Source organism: Homo sapiens, chromosome 11 (assembly GCF_000001405.40).
Source record: "Homo sapiens chromosome 11, GRCh38.p14 Primary Assembly".
Classification (NCBI taxonomy): Eukaryota; Metazoa; Chordata; class Mammalia; order Primates; family Hominidae; genus Homo; species Homo sapiens.
In genome coordinates this window covers 34,881,939-34,903,762 of record NC_000011.10, presented here as the reverse complement: position 1 = coordinate 34,903,762, position 21,824 = coordinate 34,881,939, and the positions used below count along the sequence as shown (strand labels likewise).

General features: G+C 37.9%; 1 protein-coding gene across 3 annotated transcripts in view; it reads left to right on the top strand.

The window, feature by feature from the left end:
* The window catches only part of APIP (APAF1 interacting protein), a 34,085-nt gene extending 12,617 nt beyond the window's left edge, over positions 1-21,468 (top strand). For 2 of the 3 annotated variants that reach the window (NM_015957.4, XM_017017875.3), the window contains 6 exons: positions 8,653-8,753; positions 13,211-13,259; positions 14,894-15,011; positions 15,335-15,470; positions 20,259-20,426; positions 20,947-21,468. In NM_015957.4, coding sequence (NP_057041.2) covers positions 8,653-8,753; positions 13,211-13,259; positions 14,894-15,011; positions 15,335-15,470; positions 20,259-20,426; positions 20,947-21,046 — 672 coding nt within the window. In that variant the 3' untranslated portion in view covers positions 21,047-21,468. Of the gene's footprint in view, positions 1-6,907; positions 7,003-8,652; positions 8,754-13,210; positions 13,260-14,893; positions 15,012-15,334; positions 15,471-20,258; positions 20,427-20,946 lie in introns of all 3 variants that reach the window. The other variant, XM_011520154.4, reaches the window with a different exon arrangement.
* The last annotated feature ends 356 nt before the right edge of the window (positions 21,469-21,824 follow it).

Genomic DNA, 21,824 nt, shown 5'->3' with positions numbered 1-21,824 from the left:
GTACTGAGGTTTAATTTCTCTTATGGAGCCTTCCCAGATTAGAGGGGTGTGAAGTGTGTTGATGTCTTGAGGCTTCCTTGCCACTGATTTAGCTGCCTGATCAGCTAATCTGTATCCTTCGGCTACCTCATCTGTTCCCTTTTGATGTCCCTTGCAATGCATCACTGCTATTTATTGTGTAAGAAAAACTGAGGATAATAACCTGTTAATTTCCTGGTGATATTTTACAGGCGGTCCATTGGTGGTAAGGAAATGCCTTTCCTTCCAAATGGCAGCATGAGCATGGAGAACCAGAAAAGCATACTTGGAGTCAGTGTAAATGTTAGCTCTCTTTCCTTTGCTTAATGTGATTGCTTTTGTAAGAGCTATTAGCTCAGCTAATTGAGCACTTGTGCCTGGAGGGAGAGATGCACTTTTGGTGACGTCATTTAGAGTGACCATTGCATATGCATACTCCTTGTTCTACAAAAGAGCTCCCATCTGTGGAGAGGGTCCAGTCTGAGTTCTCTAGGGAAGTTTCCCCAGTATCTTCCCTTGCTGCATAGGTCTGTACTATGACTTGTTCATAATCATGCACAGTTTCCCCAGTTTCCTTGGGGAAGAAGGTGGCTGGATTTAGATGAGAACAAGTCTTTAATTGGATGTTGGAACCTTCTAACAGCAGGGCCTGATATGTAAGGAGTCGGCTGTTAGCCCAAAGGCTCCCCTGTAGAGTGCAGTAGTCCTGCCATGTTATGTGGGGTGTAAACAGTTAAATCATTTCCCAGGATTATAAACAGTTAAATCATTTCCCAGGATTAGTTTGGAGGCTTCTGGGACCAGTAGAGCCACTGAGGCAATGGCTTGGAGACATGCTGGCCATCCTTTAGCCACCAAATCATGTTCCTTACTTAGGTAACCCATTGACTGTTGAGCTGGTCCTCGGGCCTGTGTTAAAACTCCCAGGGACATTCCCTTCTTTTCTGACACATACAGATTGAAGGCCTTCCCTACAGGAAGGCTGAGGGCTGGCACCTTGAGCAAGGCTTGCTTTAGCTGGTTGAAGGCCTTTTGAGCTTCAGGTTCCCAGGTTAAAAGATGAGTTTTAGCTCCCTGAGTTTCTTTTATGAGGTTATATAATGGACGGGCTATTTCACCATACCCAGGTATCCATAGTCTACAAAATCCTGTAATGCCCCAAAATCCTCTTAGTTGCTTGAGGGTTTGGGGGTGAGGGAAGGAGGAAATAGGCTTAATCCTCTCTTCCCCTAATACTCTGGTCCCCTTGGACAGTACTAATCCTAGATACTTCACTGAGGTTTTGCAGAGCTGGGCCTTGGATTTTGAAACCTTATATCCTCTGTTAGCTGAGAAGTTGAGAAGAGCTTCGGTGCCTTCCTGAGAAGCTTCCTCAGTTGGGGCACAGAGCAGAATATCATCAACTAATGCAAGACCCTAACTTGAGGATGAGAGAACTCAGAAATGTCTTGTGACAGTGCCTGTCCAAACAGATGAGGACTATCTCAAAATCCCTGAGGCAGCACCGTCCATGTTAACTGGGCAGTCTGGACGGAAGGAAATCCTCAAAGGCAAACAGGTGTTGAGAATCAGGATGTAATGGTATGCAGAAAAAGGCATCCTTTAAATCTAGGACTGTAAACCATTTAGTTCCCTCAGGTATTTGAGTTAACAGGGTATAGGGATTAGGTACCACTGGATGCATTGGAACTACAGCTTCATTAATGAGGCAAAGGTCCTGAACTAGTCTCTATTCCCCACTGGGCTTCTGCACTCCTAATATTGGGGTGTTGCAGGGGCTATTAAAGGGTTTGAGGAGGCCCTGCATCTTTAGGTTATTAATAACGGCTTCTAGCCCTTTCCTAGCCTCTGGGCTCAGGGGATACTGTCTCTGGTTAGGAAAAGAAGTGAGATCCTTAAGATAGATCTGGACTGGCCTAGTGGTTATAGCTCGACCTATCCTTCCTTGAGTTGCCCACACTTGTAGTTTAATGTTAGCTTCCATCGGGGGAGACAAAGAGTTTGTCCTGGGGCTGTATGGATGCTGGCCCCCATGCAAGCTAGACTATCTCTTCCTAATAAAGGAGCAGGACTTTCAGCCATGATTTTAAAAGCATGTGTAAATAGTAGGTCCCCCCATCTGCAGGTAAGAGGTTGAGAAAAATATCAGGTTAGAATTTTTCCTGAGACACCCCTTATAGTCATACTATGGGAAGAGGGGAGGCCTGGATTAGAGGAGAAGAGAGAGACTGGCTCCAGTATCCAGAAGGAGATCTACCTTCCTTCCTTCCTTTGATTTCCAGAATCACCCAAGGTTCCTGTGCTGTAATGGCAGTCTGAGTCGCTGGAGCTAGGGGTTTGAGCCCCCGGGACCCATCAGTCTTGCTGGACCATCTGTGAGACTGGTTCTGAACCCAGTGACCTCCGTCTCTGGGGGCAGATCTGTCTCCAGTGGTCTCCGCCACAGGCTGGACAGGGTCGAGGTGGCTTTGTCTTGCTACCTGGACATTCTTTCTTAAAATGCCCTGATTTGCCACATCGATAACAGCTAGTGGATGCACCTTGGGGATTCTGGACTTTGCAAGCTTGCACCACTGCTACTAGAGCCTCTGTTGTTTTCCTGTATTTTCCTTTCCTTTTATTGGGCTTCCTCCTGATCCCTATTGTAAAAGACCGAAGTGGCTTTCTTAGGAGGTTTTCTAGGGTACTATCTGGCCCTATAGCTTGCTTTTATAGTTTCCTTTTAATATTGGGAGCTACCTGTGTAATAAACTTGTCCTTGAGAATGAGCTGTCCCTTGATTGAATCGGGATAAATAGGTATGTTTTATTAGTGCCTCTCTCAGCCTTTCCATAAAGGCTGTGGGATTCTCGTTTGGTCTTTGGTCTATCATGGACAGTTTAGAGTAATTGAGAGGTTTGGCCCTGGTTTTCCATGGGCCCTCTAATACACACCTTAAAAGTGCTTCCTTTTCCATTCATTTCCTGAGTTACTGGTGTTCCAGTCAGGGTTGTCTACCAGAACTGCTTCCTTTCCTAGTAGGAATGGAGTTTCCACTTCTTCCTCACCTTCCCTATCTCCTCTTTGTCTCCTCGGTTTGCTACAGGAGGCATGTTGCTCATCTCCATATTTTTCTGCTGCCTGCAGAACTTTCTGCTTTTCAGCTTCAGTGAGGGTCTGACGTAGCAGCAACGTAACATCCCTCTATGTGAGGTCAAATACCTGAGTTAAATTTTGGAAAATTTCTATATACCTACCTGGGTTGTCAGAAAATCGGCCTAAGTCTCCCTTTATTTGCTTAAGGTTCTGTAATGAAAGGGAACTTGAACCCTCATGGCACCATTCCCATCAAGCACTTCCTGCAGCAGTAAGAGTGAAATGGGGAGAGTAGGATATACTGGAAATGGTGGAGCTAGAGGAGCTGATGGTACAATTGGAGGGGGACTGGAAGCATTGGGACATTCAATAGCTGTCTCAGATTGCTCCTTTGGAACCTACTTTAGCTCTGGGAAAGGCCTATGGGCTTGCCTGCCATGGCTGGTAAAAGAACTGGGTCAGTTGTCCAGGACTTGTAAAGGTCTGGGTTTCACAGGGCAAAGAAAGTCTATACATAGGGGACCTCAGTCCATTTGCCCTTCTGTCTATAGAAAAGATCTAACTGTTGGATGACATTAAAATCAAGGCTCCACCAAGCAGGCCAGGTTTGTCCATCTCCAAGATGATAAGAAGGCCATGCCCTTGTGCAATAGACTATGAGGCATTTTTTCTTCAAAGTCTCAGGGTTGAAGCAGTCCCAGTGTTTTAAAATCCACTCCAGGGGACCACATGCTAAAGATGATCTGTTACCCGTTTAGAAAGAGAAGTGAGAATAAAAGTGTCCTTTTAGTCTCCTTCCTTTCTGTATATGACCCAGGGTGGAGAAGAAAACAGTGGGGGCGTCCCCCAACTATTTTCCCTCGCTAGTTCCTAGGTCCCACCTCCCTGTTAAATGTGCTGCCCATGACTGTAGGTGTGACCCTCCAAGCCATGGCACCAGAGGAACTAGACTTTTGGGCCTAGTCGCACTTCCCCAAGCAGCTCTAGTCCTCTGCTTATATTTCCCTTCAACCTCCTAGACTTCTGCGACCTGTGTACCTCCCTAAAAAAAACAGATCTCAAGAAAAACTACGTAATTGGGCAAGGCCCCTTTAATGGAGGGGGTATGCTAGATTGAACTCTATATCCTGCTATTATGGCCCATGCTAAAGCATTTACCCTTAGAAAAATGGTTCCGGTTAACTTCTGGACTTAAAATCCCCTTACTAGCTCAGTACTACCTTAATCAGAGACAGAATAGGTGCCTTAAAGGAACGTAGGAACCAAACGGCCATTTTCCTGCTGATGGGACAATATTGAGACTAAAATTTGGCCACAGAAGACATTTAACTCCTATCTGTTGAAAGCAGAATTTTCCTGTTCACAGAAGAGGCTTAGAGCCCGATTTCTAGTGGTGCAAAAGGAAGCTGCAGTGTTACCATAAAAGAAAAAAAAATGTGCCTCATGAAGATTTCTGTTTCCACTAGGTGGCACTGTTGGTTTAGAAATACTATTTGCTCGAGGCCGGGCTCAGTGGCTCACGCCTGTAATCCCAGCACTTTGGGAGGCCGAGGCAGGTGGATCACTAGGTCAGGAGATTGAGACCATCCTGGCTTGTAATCCCAGCACTTTGGGAGGCCGAGGCAGGTGGATCACTAGGTCAGGAGATTGAGACCATCCTGGCTAACACGGTGAAACCCCCATCTCTACTAAAAATACAAACAATTAGCTGGGCGCGGTGGCGGGCGCCTGTAGTCCCAGCTACTCGGGAGGCTGAGGCAGGAGAATGGCGTGAACCCGGGAGGCGGAGCTTGCAGTGAGCCGAGATCACGTCACTGCACTCCAGCCTGGGCGAAAGAGCGAGACTCTGCCTCAAAAAAAAAAAAAAAAAAAAAAAAAAAAAACCAAAGAAAGAAATACTATGTGCTCGCCAGAGTAGTAGTAGAGAGACCTGGAAATGCCATGCACTCTCCAGACCAAGGGCAGAGAGAGAGACGCTCACTCTGGGTGGGAGCGGGGAGGAGGGGGAGGAAAGGAACCCTCTGTTCCTAGAAGATTGCAACAGCATTCCTGAGCTAAACTCCTGGTTACTAAATTCCCGCACATCAGAGAGAGAGAGAGACTGTGGATAGAAAAAGAAGGAGAGTTTTGTGACAGGATAGCTGGGGATTCTCTGCCAAAACCCGAAATGGGCTGTTGGAGGCTGGGTCCGACCCAGAGGCCTTTGAATAACGCCAGGGTGTGTCCTGGCCAGAACTTTCCCAGCCTCACGCGATGGTAAGGTTTCCCCGTGAAAGGAAACTGATTCGAAACACGGCCGACACTCCCAATGACCCGTGGGTATTGAGGGGGGTTCTCCGTGTTCTCCACCAGCAAGCCTAACATCTGAGGCCTTAGAATGGCAGTCGTGATAAGCATATTTTTAACCAGCTGAAGGATGCCTGTTGATTGATTTGATTTGATTTTAAAATAGAGGCCAAGAGCCCCTCAGAATGATAGAACAGATTTTAAGCTTGCTCCTATACTCACCATCCGATGAATGTTGTACCTCGGATTCTTGGCCAACACACCAAAATGATATGGCTCTGATAACTGAAGGAACACCAGGGCCCTTTGTCTCGCACCAATTTAGATAAATAACATGGACACACGTGGAGTGGTTTTAAGGAATGGAGAGTTTAATAAGAAAGAAGAAAGAAGCTCCCCTGTACAGAGATGGAGGGTGGCTCCAAGCAGAGAGAGAAAACCCCAAGTGGAGCGGGAAAACAGTCGGTTCTATTAGGAGGCTGGAGGAGGTGGTGTCTGATTTTCATAGGGCCCAGGGGATTGGTTTGACCAGGTATGTCACTCAGGTAGCCCACGAAAAAAACTAGCCTTCCCACCCTAGCCTTTTAATATTCAAATACAGGCCACCATGATGTTCTGCACACGTGAAGATATCTGGGGTGGCCATGATGCTTGACACACATGGTGACAAGAAGAGGGTGGGAATCACCATATTGGATGGACCCGGTTTCTAATGGCTGGCATTTGCACATCAAAGCTTGCTATCCTGGCCCTTTAAGCTGCTTTTCTGCTAGAAAAGAAATGTTTTTGGAGCTGCATTATTAAAAGAAAAAAAAAAACCTTACTAAGCTGCATTATTAAAAGAAAACAAAACCTTACCAACCTTACCCTCTCTGTCTAAAATAATTTCTTAATAACTCCTATAATAGTTTTGCTATTTTAATTCAAGAATTTTCAGCTCTTTAAAATGAAAAGGAAACTGACATTGTGTCAGATTTCATGCTGACTGCATTATGTCCATTGTATCTCATTTTAATCCTCACAGCATTTTCATTGTGTGGATAAGTAAACTGACACCCAAAGTCATGTAGGCAATAAATCCAGTAATGTGGATTAGACTTTTAAGTCAGCTAACTCCAAGTCTAAGTTGAATCAGAACTTTTAGAAATTTCTAGATTCTCAAGTTTTTAATTTTATATTTTGAAGTTTACTCCATCAGTCATCATTTGTAATACTTAAAATGAGTAAGTAGAACATTAGCACTAAATCTGGGGAAAAACACCACAATTTCAAGTATTCAGCTAAGTAGCTGAGAATTCAACCTGTTAAATAATGATCGCTTTTTGAACTCAAAGATGTTTTTCCCCCTTTACCCAGTGACCGGATCTGTAAAGGCATGCTTCCTTGTTGTGATTTTCTCCACAGTGAATCTCATTTTGTTCACTGTTACCTTGAAGGTAGACCTCAGTGGGGTCTCCAGTTTATGTGGGGATTTTTCATTAGGTTTCCTGGAATTGATCAGGCCCTGGGTTTTGTCTCATGCTTCTAGTGGCTTACATGGCTATCAAAATTGAAGTTCAAGGTCACCAGAGTTTTGCAATACCTTCAGGAACATTCTGGCTTTGGCGCTCACTTCTCTCCCAGGTAGTCTCATTTTCCTTTGTTGTTGTTGTTGTTGCTTTATTATGCTTTTAAGTTCTGGGATACGTGTGCAGAACTTACAGGTTTGTTACTTAGGTATACACGTGCCATGGTGGTTTGCTGCACCCCTCAACTCATCATCTATGTTAGGTATTTCTCCTAATGCTATCCCTTCTCTAGCCCCCCATCTGCTGACAGGCCCTGGTGTGTGATTTTCCCCTCCCTGTGTCCATGTGTTCTCATTGTTCAAATCCCATTTATGAGTGAGAACATGCAGTGTTTGGTTTTCTGCTCCTGTGTTAGTTTGCTGAGAATGATGGTTTCCAGCTTCATCCATGTCCCTGCAAAGGACGTGAGCTCATCCTTTTTTATGGCTGCATAGTATTCCATTGTGTATATGTGTCACATTTTCTTTATCCATTCTATCATTGATGGGTATTTGGGTTGGTTCCAAGTCTTTGCTATTGTAAATAGTGCTGCAGTAAACATACGTATGTGTCTTTATAGTAGAATCCCAGTAATGGGATTGCTAGGTCAAATGGTATTTCTGGTTCTAGATCCTTGAGGAATCGCCACACTGTCTTCCACAATGGTTGAACTAATTTACACTCCCACCAACAGTGTAAAAGCATTCCTATTTCTCCACATCCTCTCCAGCATCTATTGTTTCCTGACTTTTTAATGATCGCCATTCCAACTGGTGTGAGAGTCTCATTCTCATTTTTTATGGCCCCTGTGAAACTTTACTTTCTTGCCAGCTCAACAACTTATTTTGAAATATTTTAAAAAATAATTTATTCAGCATTTGTACTTATTTTTAAGATAAGGATTGTATATTATACTGCCCAAAATGGAATTCATTGTATTTCTTCTTCATTTATTTATTTATTTATTTATTTTTGTTTTCATTAATTTAAACCACAAAAAAGCAGGAGAAAATGGTGTGGGCTCTTTTTTCTAAAGAAGTAATCATTGGACTTATAAAAATAACACTTGATATTTATCTGTCTGTATACACACACATACACTCATAAACACGTATCTTCATAAAATGGGTTAAGCAAGTATTAATTGAGGTTGTTTCTTAGTGTTTTTTGTAATTTGCTTCACTTTATTTTCTATAATGAGTATATATTGCTTTTTCAATAAGAGAAACTAAAATCATTGTGGGAAAAAGGACTTTTTTGGAATAAAAATACAATTGAACCAACACACAGAGTATGTGTTGAACATGTAACTATCATAATATCTCATGTATATATCATCAAACCTAGTTAAATAAGGTGTTTTGTGTAAATAAATCTTCTGGAGAGACTGTTCCTTCAGCATGAGATTCTATTTTCTTTCAGCCATTTCAGTTGATGCTTTGTAATGTATACTAGGCATTTCCCCACCTTGTTTTTGCAGCCTGTTCCTTAGTGTTGGACTATATGGCCCTATACCGAATACTCCCAGGTTGCCAAATAATGTAGTAGATCCACTTTCTAAACATTAAAAACAAAATATGTTTGTAATAGTTTTTTCCTTCACTGTACTCTTTCTATAGTATGTTTTCTTAAACTTTCTTAAATTGGCTTCTTATTAGAAACACCAGCTGGAATAGTTACTTGATAAAATGATGTCTGTTTTAAAAATCATTACCTTCTTTTTAAGGACAAGGAGCATCCAAGATACCTGATCCCAGAACTTTGCAAACAGTTTTACCATTTAGGCTGGGTCACTGGGACTGGAGGAGGAATTAGCTTGAAGCATGGGTAAGTTTCTGGCAGCCTTTATTACTGGGAACTCTCCATTTGAGTAGACCACAGCAAGTCTAATGTGTTATATCCAAAGAACAACTGATGATCAGTTTTATGTGATACTGAAGGTCTTTAGTTTCTAAATGGACAAGTGGACATTTGTGTAACTGAATGGAAGCAATGTACAAAAGCTGCAGATATGTCAAATAGCTAAAGACTGAAGATCCACAATTTCAAATCACAATAACTTAATACTCAGTTTTTGAGTACCAGAGTTAAATAACATGCTACCAAGTATGTTCATATACCTGAGATTCTAGAGGATCCTCTCTAGGTAGATAGGATTTGTTTCAAAGGTTCAGGTACTTTGGTTTTTGAAACAGAGTCTTGCTCTGTCACCCAGGCTGGAGTGCAGTGGGGCGATCATGGCTCACTGCAGCCTTGACTTCCCAGGCTTAAACAATCCTCCTACCTCATCCTCCTGGGCAGCTGGGACTACAGGCATGTGCGACCACGCCTGGCTAATTTTTTCTGGGGTTTTTTTTTTTTTTTTTTTTGTAGAGACTGGGTCTCACTAAGTTGCATGGGCTGGTCTCAAACTCCTAGGCTCAAGCAACCCACCTGCCTTGACCTCCCAGATACATATTTCAAAGTCACTTAAATACAGATGACTAATCATTAAAAATCCTAATAATTATTTTTTATTGAATCAAAAGAACGGCAGTATGCTTTCTAAGCACCTGTATCATTAATGAATATAGTGCCTGCTAATCTGTATTCCTCAGAGGACAAAACAAGATGTACTGGACTTAAATTGAAGCAGAAAGGATAAATAGTATTCAATTGCTCATTGTATTTATTTAGTGTCATTTATTCAAGAAGATGAAGAAATAAAGTAAGTATTAGTAACTGTGAGTAAGAAGTAACTTGCTATCAATGAAATTAAGATTATAGAATCTCATTCAAGGATTTCCAATACAGGATTAATCTTTTTTTCCTCCTGAAATGTGTTAGGAATATTATTGTCTGGAGGTTGTGTGTTAAATTGAGTGATGTTGATTTATTACTTCATTCTAATTCACTTTCTTTAACAAAATTGGATTATTAAAATATTTATGTGCTGTTGAATATATATAGTCATGCCCCCAAGGAGGCTGCATTGCATATTAAGGAATGGAATGTAAAATATAATCAGAACATTGGGAACAAAAGGGATTCAATGGTACACCACAAGATGATGCCATTATAATTTTATCTGCTTTAAATTACTGAGTTAACTCATGAAATTTTCATTGAACATTGGGAAATGACAAGAGGTTCCTCTGTTAACAACTGGCACAGTTAGGGATAAAAGTATGCTCTCAGTCTAGTAAGATTATGTTCCATATGGTAGATCAATAAATCCATCTGTGCCTCCTCTCTTACCATCAGCCTAGTTGCTAATGTGTAAATACAGCATTGCTCAAGCTTTCACATTATTTTGCCAAAACTTTCAAGATGGCCTATTCACAGCAAATCCTACGATAACAACATTTATTCTTGTTTCATGTATCCATTTAGAAGTTGAGTCCCAGTAATATAGTTTCCCAACTGTATTATTTATAATAAATCATATTCTAAATGCTGTCTTTAGTTAACTGCTTTTTATTTGCATGTTCAGAAATAGTTTGTGTATGTATAAAATAAAGCTTTCTACCAAATGAGCTAAAATAACCATTTCCAACTGGCTCTTTAAAAAAACTAGCAAAGTTAAAAATAGGTGAATGCAGGACTCAAGATGAAATATTTTTGATCAAAAAGACATAAAGGACTATGTTCTTTCTAGTAGAATTTTACTAATCCATGCACTACCATTTTATGTGACCACCATAAACCACTCATTGGCGCATCTTTTAAAATTAAATGGGCTTTTATAGCACTAAAATCAGCTCATAGGAAATTTTCATCATATATGTGAAATGCTTTATCCTTAGTTCTTAATGGGTGTGGAGGTCATGGAAGGAAAGAGCCACAGTCACATGGCACTGTATTTGGAATCTTATTAAATTTGTGCTTTACATAGTAAAATGAATATTTTGTAGTAAAATGTTGGTTTTTTTCCCTAATATTTAAATGACTTAATAAGTCACTAGCATTATCAGCAATACTATTCTCATGTTGTTAGTGAAAGTTTGGCTCTTTGATGCTTAGGGCAAATAAATTTGGAATAAAATGCAAACGCAATAAATTATGTTTCCAGAATAATACAGACAATAAGCTCTTTGGGAACATAAAATGATTTACTAATTCCAAGATTTGACTGGACCATTCCAGCTTATGCTACAAGTATGTGGTACCAAAAATTAAGTCAGAAGAAGGAAATAAATGACCAAGAAAATAATAGTAATCAAGGCAATTCCAGGATACTCAATAGCTACTGTGTTTAGGTTGGGTCGCTATCATTCAAATTTATAATTTCCTGTTTTCACAGAGTAATATTGACAGGTGTCAGAGAGACTGATCCTGTTGCATGTGATTAGGACTACAATTAATAAAGTCACATTGTAGACAAAATAATTGAGGCACTATAAGATTTAAATTATTTTTTAACTGACCAGAAAGCAAATAAAAATAGAAGCAACTGAACATAGATGTATTTTGACCTCTTGGGGTTTGGCCCTTGCTTACCACAGTGAAAATGCAGGAGTACAGAGAAGTATATTCCAAAATTTAGTAACTTGAAATTCAAAATGCTTTCTGTTTGTGGCTTAAAGCACCAAGTAGATATTTCACTTTAATATTTGGCATGTTTCTATTCTAAAAAGCTCTGTCATTTTTATATTTTTATCCAGATATCTCTTTCTTTGTAGGTGTAAATATATTTTTCTAAAACATTTGGCTAATCTTTTAATTACCCAAAGTTCATCAAAGTCTAAATTAATTTCCATTTTACAAAGACATTTACAACATACCAAGTCACTTGAATAAACAGAGTACCCTTGGTTTTCCTACTTTATAGATGGGTTTTACTTACCAGCAGACCATTTTGTACTTTATTTGAGTCTATTCCCAGGACTGCATAAATTTCTCCCCACATAAGAAGACCCACAAGTCCACTTATCTGTGGAGGTGAGTGGACCATGTACCATCCTAGAGCTTCTTCCATGTTACACAAGGACACAAGATTTGGATCACTGGTATTCACAAAGAGCCCTTGTTAATAGTATGATCCCAACCCATTCTCACTGGTTGCAGAGGAATGTCCCTTTATGTTATCCTTATGTTGCAGAACTCGGAAACAATAGCCACTTCATGAAAGCAAATGCTCGCGTGCAGCTAACAGTGCATTGGATTTCCACTCACATTATCAGACATTTGTTTTCTAGACTTTATCAGTGGAACCTTAAAGAAACTTTGATTTCACCTTAGATTTTTATCGGTTCCAAGCCTACAGGTTTATTAGCAACCTGAACTTCAGCAGCTTGGTATATAGGCCATCATCCTCATTTACACTATGAAATGTTTGATATTTGTTCAATATCCCTGTGTCTGTGCCTTACTAGCAGAAACTAGAGCATGCAGGTACTGGCATTTTCTTGGTTTGCATATATGCAGTAGCTCATTAATACTCTCTGGCAGCAACTGAAACTGGTAAGTTATCAAAGATATCCAGCGAGAAGAGAAAAAACCTGATATGTGAGCCAAGGGACGTTTGTTTAGTTGTTGTTGAGGGTGGAGGGAATTTAGAGAAGATTTGAAATTAATTTCCAAATCAAATTTGAGAGCACCTTGTGGTAAATGGTAGTCTATAGCATCTCCCTTAGTCCAACATCCTGTAACAAAGAGATCTTCACATGTAGCCATTCTGATATTTTGAACTCTTTGTAGTTGTTTTAGCTTTATTACTAAATTTTTTTCCAAGATATGTATGCTTTTCAAATGGGAAGCATGTGATTCTATCCAAAAAGTAGCCCAGTGTTAATACAGTAATTTAAGAAACTGTCCAGCAGAGGTCTCTGAACTTCATGGTTTAAGAAGAGCATTTCAAACAATAAATCAAACCTGATTCTTTGCATGACAGAAATATACTTCTATTGAGCATATTTTCCAGATTGGATTTTAGAATAACTGTATTTCACATAGGTTAAACTCTGCTTATTCATGTTTAAAGACGCTGAAAACTTATGTTTTCAGATTTTTATTCCCCTAACAGGATAAAAGCCTGGTTACCACCAACTTTGCACTATAAAAAGAATAAATATATATGAAACGTAGAAGACAAAAGCAACAACTAATATTCTACAATGCCACCAGCACTACAAAGGCATTGATGTAGTTTGGCTTTCTTTCTATGCAGCCAAAATCCATAATTAAATCAAGCAACTGGCTGTATTGCTTGATTTATAAAGAACATGCATGATTGGACTGCAAACTTTTCTTTGTGCAAAAGCAGGAAATAAATAAATACCAATTTGTATGTTTTGTGTTGCCAGCGATGAAATCTACATTGCTCCTTCAGGAGTGCAAAAGGAACGAATTCAGGTATGGTAATGGGATTCTTTAACCTCAGTGTCTTTTCTTCTTAATTACTGTTTTATGAAATGGAATTAATTTTAAGAGAAAACATTCATTTTATCATAGCAATTTGAATAACTAATCAGCAAACATTTATTGAGTAATTATTAAATGTTTTGTAAGGTGGTAGATATCTTCCATACAACCGGTGTATGTTTTGAAATCTCATTCAACCTATAGGGGGCAAAAGTGAATAGTGCAATCTTAAATCACAGTAAAGAGCAATTATAACTTTGCAGCTTTATAACACTACGATCTTTATCAGGCTGGTGGAATAATCAGATTGATGGTCTCAGATGAACCAAATTAATTCATATTTCCTAATAGCAAAGTTATTCTAATTTCAGGATTTCAAGTTATGAAACTTTGTTTCAAATTTTGAGAAGTCTTATTCTGTGTTAATGCCAGAATAATACCCCAAATCTAGTTAAAGCAAACACATAATTATTTAACTTCTAATGCAAGAAAAAAAAGAAAAGCTGCTTTGTTAATAAAACATTTGTATTGTAGTTTTTTAATAAATCCTGGCAGATAAAAGCTACAGAAATACGCATGCTTTACTGTATGTGGATCAGATACCCATCAACAGTAGACTGGCGAAAGAAAATGTGGTACATATATACCATGGATTAGTATGCAGCCATAATAAAGAACAAGATCATGTCCTTTGCAGCAACATGAGTGGAGCTGGAAACCATTATCCTAAGTGAATTAATGCAGGAACAGAAAAATCAAATACCGCATGTTCTCACTTACAGTGGGAGCTAAACATTGAGTACATACAGTCACAAAGAAGGGAGCAATACACACTGGGACCTACTGGAGGGTGGAGGGTGGGAGGAAAGTGAGGATGGAAAAACTGCTGTCAGTTACTATGCTTATTACATGGGTGACAAAATAATCTGTACACCAGACTCTTGTAACATGCAATTTACCTATGTAACAAACCTCCACATGTACCCCTGGACCTAAAATAAAAGTTAAAAAAAAAAAGAAAAACCTGTAGATCTACATAATTTCTTAAGCTTTAAGAAGAATATACCTTATTGAGATTAACCTTTCTGAGTACCATCTAAATTTCTCAAGGGTTAGAAAAATTACTCAAAATTTTGCTTTTATCTAACAAAATGTGGGGAAAAAAATTTTAACACCCATCTTTGGAATGTCGATTTCTTTATATAGACTTTCTGAAATACAGTTGTGAAATTATAGGGCAAAGTTGAGAAGCTAAATTGTTGAAATGACAGCAGTAACATCATTACATAAATAGTAATTTTCCATATCATTTTTTGTCTTCAAATTTTTTTTAATTTTTGGGATTTGTATTAAACTTCTGAGAATATTTTTACTAGTAGAAATCACTGTTTTATTTCTCAAAATTGCTAAATTATTTTGAGAAACTATAATTATATATTTAAAATGTAAGTTAAATATATGCATATATTAGCACTCTATGTATATGTATACTAAATATACACACAAGTATGTATACTATAGATAAACTTTCTTGTATTCTTATGTATATGTACACAAGAAAAGGAACATTTCTAATTGATATTTTACAAGCCTTCTTTTTTTCTTTTTTTCCCCTCTATAAATAGCCTGAAGACATGTTTGTTTGTGATATAAATGAAAAGGACATAAGTGGACCTTCGCCATCGAAGAAGCTAAAAAAAAGCCAGTGTACTCCTCTTTTCATGAATGCTTACACAATGAGAGGTATGCAGAAAATATATTCAACATAAAGAATATTTGCAGAGTAGGCTCCTCTAAATAATGGTAATTATTATTTCAGTTAACATTTCTTGGATACCCACCATGTGCAAGAACTTGAAGTGCATGAACTTACTCAGTTCTCACATCAACCTATGAGGAAGGTCCATTATTCCACTTACCCTCCTGCCTACTACCAACTTATTCCATGCCAGGAAAAATAAGCCCATAACCATATGTAAATATAAGTATAACTATATGGACTTTTTTTCTTTAAAAGCTATAATTCAGTCTTCATTGAGCATGCGGCTTTCTTCTTCCTCCTTCAGGAGCAGGTGCAGTGATTCATACCCACTCTAAAGCTGCTGTGATGGCCACACTTCTCTTTCCAGGACGGGAGTTTAAAATTACACATCAAGAGATGATAAAAGGAATAAAGAAATGTACTTCCGGAGGGTATTATAGGTATTTTTTTTTCCTTTTTCTTAAATAATTTGAAAAGAATTCTTCCTTCTCTTTGATAAATAGAATACTGATCATTTTATGCATATAATGAGATGTCGTGGGATCTGTGTTAAATAATACTCCATTTAATATTACACTTCTAGACCTATTCTCATGACACGAATGGGATGTCTTCCCTCCTCTCCCGCCCCTACCCCAGCCATGGTAAATTATTAGTAATATGAATAATGAAATGTTTGTTTAAACTGAAAAAAATCTTGACTGAGATCTCTATCATGATGGAAAGATTATGTTCCTGTATTGAGGCAGCCAAAGATATCTTCAACTTCACTTTGTCTTCAGAAATTTGACCAGTGACTACAGTTTATACTTCATGGTGATTTAATTTAGTATTTCTGGAATATTTTCATATTTATGTAAGTTTTTTTAATAAAGTAGATCTCTATATTTTTAGAATTTTTCAGTGTTTAAGGTGAAATGGATAGTAAGTATAGATTACCATTCTAGATCAGTTTAAATAAATTCATCAGTCCACAAAAGTGTAGTAATTCTTCATAATTCTAGAATATAACGGCAGGAAGAAACATGTTCTCAGTGTTCAGGGACAAGCTAAGCATTTCATTTGAGTTTATTAGCATTCTCATTCCTGAACCTTCACTCTTAATTTCCTAAAGGGCTTGATTCTACCTTGCCTTGTTTAGAGGAAAACGGTGCCAGTTTTACTAAAGTGTTATTACCACAATATCATATTCTTACTGCATGTAATGGAATGTGCATGTTTAAACTAGTGCACTGAGAAATTGATTTGATTTCAGTTAATATTTATTGTGTGCTTAAAGCATTCCTCAGGACTGTGAAACACCTGTTTACAAAAGTTAAATATTTAAATTAAGAGAAGTGTACATACTGAGGAAAGTAGAGCCCCAGATTGCCTCTTCCATATCTGGGGCTGAAGGAGAGGCCTTATGGGTACTATCAGTTTCATATGAATGTTATTGTTTTGGTGAGGAAATAAAAATAGGTCAGAAGAATCAGTTTTTCTGAAAAGAGTTTGGAAAAAGTAAGGTAGAGGAACAGGGCATAAGAGAGAGTCTTTGCAATTTTGTGGAGAGGCCAAGCATGGTGGCCCTTTGCAATTCTGTTGGAGTCTAGCTGGGAAATGAGTAATAGAGTCATTAACACAGCTCAGGAGGCAGTGTTATTTTATCTGAATTTGAAGAGAATCCTGAGTCTAATCAAAAGAAAGGCAATGAAAGCTGGATGAGGTAAGAAAGGATGGAGTTTAAAATTCTCTACTGTATTTTTTTAAGTTTATCTTTTATATAAAGAACAGCTTTAAAATACAGTCACTTGTCACTGTGGATGGGGATATGTTCTGCGAAATGTGTCACTAGGTGATTTCATCATTGTGTGAACAGCAGAGTGCATACACAAACCTAAATGGTATAGCCTACTGCACACCCAGGGTATATGGTATAGCCTAATGCTCCTAGGCTACAAGCCTGCATAGCAGGTTACTGTACAAAGTACTGTAGGCAATTGCAACACAATGGTAGGTATTTGTGTATCTAAACATAGAAAAGGTTTGGTAAAAAAAAAATATGATGTAAAAGGTAAAAAGTGGCACACCTGTCTAAGGCCCTGACCATGAACGGAGCTTGCAGAACTGGAAGTTGTTCTGGGTGAATAAGTGAGTGAGTGGTGAGTAAATGTGAAGGCCTAGGACATTACACTACTATAGACTTTATAAGCATTGTATGTTTAGGCTACACGAAATTTATTGAAAACATTTCTTAATAATAACCTCAGCTTACTGTAACTTTTTTAGTTTATCAAGCTTTTACTTTTTTTTTTTAACTTTTGGACTCTTGTAATAGTACCTTAAAACACACATTGTACAGCTATACAAAAATATTTTCTTTATATCTTTATTCTATAAGCTTTTTTCTATTTTAATTTTTTTTAACTTTTTAAATTTTTTTTGTTAAAATCTGAGACACAAACACATATATTAGCCTAGGAGTACACAGGGTCAGGGTCATCAATATCACTGCCTTCCACCTCCACACCTTGTCTCAGTGGAAGGTCTTCAGGGGCAAGTAACATGCATGGAGCTGTCATCTCCTGTGATAACTAACAGTGCCTTCTTCCGGAATACCTCCTGAAGGACCTGCCCGAGGCTGCTTTACAGTTAACTTTTTAAAAACCATATAAGTAGAAGGAGTACACCCTAAAATAGTGTTTTAAAATTATAGAGTAATAAATACATAAACTACTAACATAGTCATTATCATCACGTATTACATACTGTAATAATTGTATGTGCTGTACTTTTATACAGCTAGCAGCACAGTAGGTTTGTTTACACCAGCATCACCACAGACATTTGCATAATATGTTGTGCTGTGACCCTATGACAGCTATGCGGTCATTAGGCGATAGGAGTTGTTGAGAGCCAAAAAGGCCAAAGGGATCGTGATCAACTCAGCATTCCACTGGAGGCTATATGATCAAACAGCAAACTGTTTATCATGAATGCAGGATGTGAGCAAACTCACACTGCGCCTGCCACCAAAAGGTTTGCTGAGGGACATCACTCCCTGGCACCGGGCTCCTTGAAGTTATCCATTGAGAAATCTAGAGCCTATTGTTCAAAGGATGCAGTCTTGCAAGCCTGCTGTGAACCAAAGTGGCCGACTGACAATTGCCCGACAATTGCCCCCCATTTCTCGTTATCTCTTTTACCAATAAATACGGAGGGCTGTGTACAGCTCGGGGCCCTTGTCCACTAGAGGCAAGGTGCCCCCGACCTCTTCTTCCAAACGTACTCTCTTGTTTTTATCTTTTATTCCCACGTTCGCCCCCTTTGTTCAGTCCACCAGGTCTGTGCAGGTATAATGGAGTTTTTCAGCTCCATTATAATCTTATAGGACCACCATCATATCTGTGGTCTGACATTGATGTATATGTATATACCTATATATGTGTATATATATACCTTTATATGTATAGTTATATGTATATATATACACCTATATATGTATAGTTATATATACATGTATAACTATACATATATAATATACATATATAGTTATATAGGTATATATATACATATATAGTTATACATGTATACCTATACATATATAGGTATACATTATATAGGTATATATAATATATATAATATACATGTATACTATGTATACATATATTATAGTTGTATAATGTATACATATACATAACTTTATATTATAATTGTACTCCCTTTCAGAAGCAATGTCTCTATGGTACAGTGAAAACAATACTCTTTGAGGGTCAAAGGGCTATCCTGGCTCTCTTTCTCATTTAACTTGTCTGGATCAGTGTCATGTTTGTAAAGTGGGAGGACTGGCTTGAATTCGCTTTCAGTTCTTACTTTGCTGTGAAATTATTTTGCTCCTGAAAATATTTCTGACTATTGAGTGCATGCTAGAGAAAAATATGTTTATGGTTCTCTCGGCCAATATTAGGAAAGATTTGAGACTAGCAATTCATTCCTTCAATATTTAAGGATACTTTTTTCTTTTTTTTTTGAGACTAAGTCTGGCTCTGTCGCCAAGGCTAGAGTGTAGTGTCTCGATCTTGTCTTATGCAACCTCCGCCTCCCAGGCTCAAGCCATTCTCTCACCTCAGTCTTCCGAGTAGGTGGGACTACAGGCATGCACCACCATACCTGGCTGATTTTTGTATTTTTTGTACAGATGGGGTTTCACCATGTTGGCCAGGCTGGTTTTAAATTCATGAGCTCAAACAGTCCATCTGCCTTGGCTTCCCAAAGTGCTGGGATTATAGCTATGAGCCAATGCACCTAGCCATAGTTAAGGATAGTCTATAATTACCTCTGTTTTACTTAAGTGAAGTGATGGGCAACTCTATACTCTTAATGATAATGGTTGGCCAAGTTATCAGTCACATGATGACTACTTAGTCTGTGCTTGCCCTACAGTAGCAATTGCAGAATACTTTAGCTAGAACTTTTTTTTTTAAGTTTTTAGCACTATAGAAGTAGTGAAAAAGCAGATGTTACATTAACAAAACAAGAGAAATTCATGTAAAAAGGAAAGCTTATCTGAGTTTTTGCAAGAATAGACTTAATTTTGCCAGTGACAATTATGTGTTTAAATATTACATTCTGATTTCATCACATGTATTTCCTGAGAGGACAGTGGAAGTAAAAGAAGTTCTAATGCTACAGATTTGAGAATGTTCTGAAAGCGTCGTACCTTTAAGAGTTATCTCCAGAACATTCTTGCTGTCCTAGTGCCACAAACCATGCTTGTGTTTTTTGATTTGCCTATCTCAGATACTTTGGGATTCTGCAGAAATGAAATACAGTGATTTTGTATTAATTGGGAAATTCTTAATATATAATTCAATTTTTAATCTTTTCTATGCTTCTGATTCTGAAATATATCATTTGCCATCTCCTTGTATAAATATTATGATTGTCCCTGCTTCAAGGAAACATTTATATGATCTTGATGATTTCTTTGTTAGGTTTTGGTATATTTTACAAATTTCCACCACTTAGGCTTAGGATTAGACCAAGCCTGCCACATTCCCAAGGTACCTTTTGATAGAGATGTTTATACAAGGTACACAGAATAACACGCAACATCCTGTTCATAATTTGGAGTGGCTTTTCAGACACAAACAGCATGTCTAACTGGTTACTTGAAAAAATTACATGTTGTATACATATCAATGCTTGATTTGTTTTAATGGAAAAAAATGGCTTGTTTTGTCTTACAGATATGATGATATGTTAGTGGTACCCATTATTGAGAATACACCTGAGGAGAAAGACCTCAAAGATAGAATGGCTCATGCAATGAATGAATACCCAGACTCCTGTGCAGTACTGGTCAGACGTCATGGAGTATATGTGTGGGGGGAAACATGGGAGAAGGCCAAAACCATGTGAGTGTAAATCAGAGAACATGGGGAACAAGTTACCACCCGCTAAATGTGAAGGAAAACAAAGTATGTCAGTTGGTTTAAATTTAAATTGTTTATCATTATTTGTAGATACTTTATTTTTATTATGTATCCATTCATGAAGAAGTATTGATTGGATGAGCTGTTGTTTGGCAAGGCTCTAGGAATGTTGATAGAGGAAGAAGACACAGATCCCAAGTTACAAAAGTTCTATTTCAGAAAGTGACATCTAGTTTAAAAAAAATGTAAATTTATGTAGGCAGTATATTTTAAACTCTCTTTTATTTCCTGAGAGGTATGTAATATTGTTGCATGACTTAATATGATTCCTTTCTGTGTTTTAAAAATGTTGAGGGAAAAATAGAATTTTGGCCTAGAATTGAGAGAAAATACATACTAGGAACAAAGCAGAGTTAACTGCAAGAGAGGAGAAATGTGATTCTTTAGGATTGGAGAACTCTGTTTCGATAAACACTGGTTCTTTTTGCTTTTTCTTTTACAGGTGTGAGTGTTATGACTATTTATTTGATATTGCCGTATCAATGAAGAAAGTAGGACTTGATCCTTCACAGCTCCCAGTTGGAGAAAATGGAATTGTCTAAGCCAAAAGAAAGTCTAATTATATACAGAGATAAAGCTAAACGTAATTATTATTTAAATGAAAGCTATTTTTTTAAATGAATTGAAATTTTTCATGATGCTACTAATTTGCCACTAAATACTGCAAATGGTCACCCTGAATCTCTTCTGACATTGGATGTTATTTGCTTATATTCTTATAATTTTAAATGAGGGCACAGTGAAATGAAAATTTTATACTCTATGTTTCTGTTTATTTTTAAATCCTTAACAGCAAAATATTTGCCTTTAATTTCTTTTTTATATATACTCTCAGAGAATTCCTCTTAATTTTTAAAGATGCTGGTGATAATAAAATTCATTAGAAAATTTCCTCATTGTGGAATGAGCATTCTCTTGTTTTAATGTTGGTGTCAGAAAATAAATATGAAACATTAAGTCCAAATTTATCCCTCAATGTTAATGTCAAAATAATTTTATAGATTTCCCCTATTAGCTTTAGTGTTTCCCTGTGGTCTACAACAGGACACTCATTTTATATTGGGATCAGTTGTGAAATTCAGGTCAGGTGGTATCAACTCAAATTCCCTTAACCAAACAAATCTTGATCAAACCGATGATGTAATCAGAAAGTCCTTTCTTTAAAATTGTTTTAAATTTTAGGTTTGGGGGCCCACATGAAGGTTTGTTACATAGACAAACACATGTCACAGGGGTTTGTTGTACATATTATTACATCACCCGGGTATTAAGTTCAGTATCCAATAGTTATCTTTTATGCTCTTCTTCCTCCTCCCACCC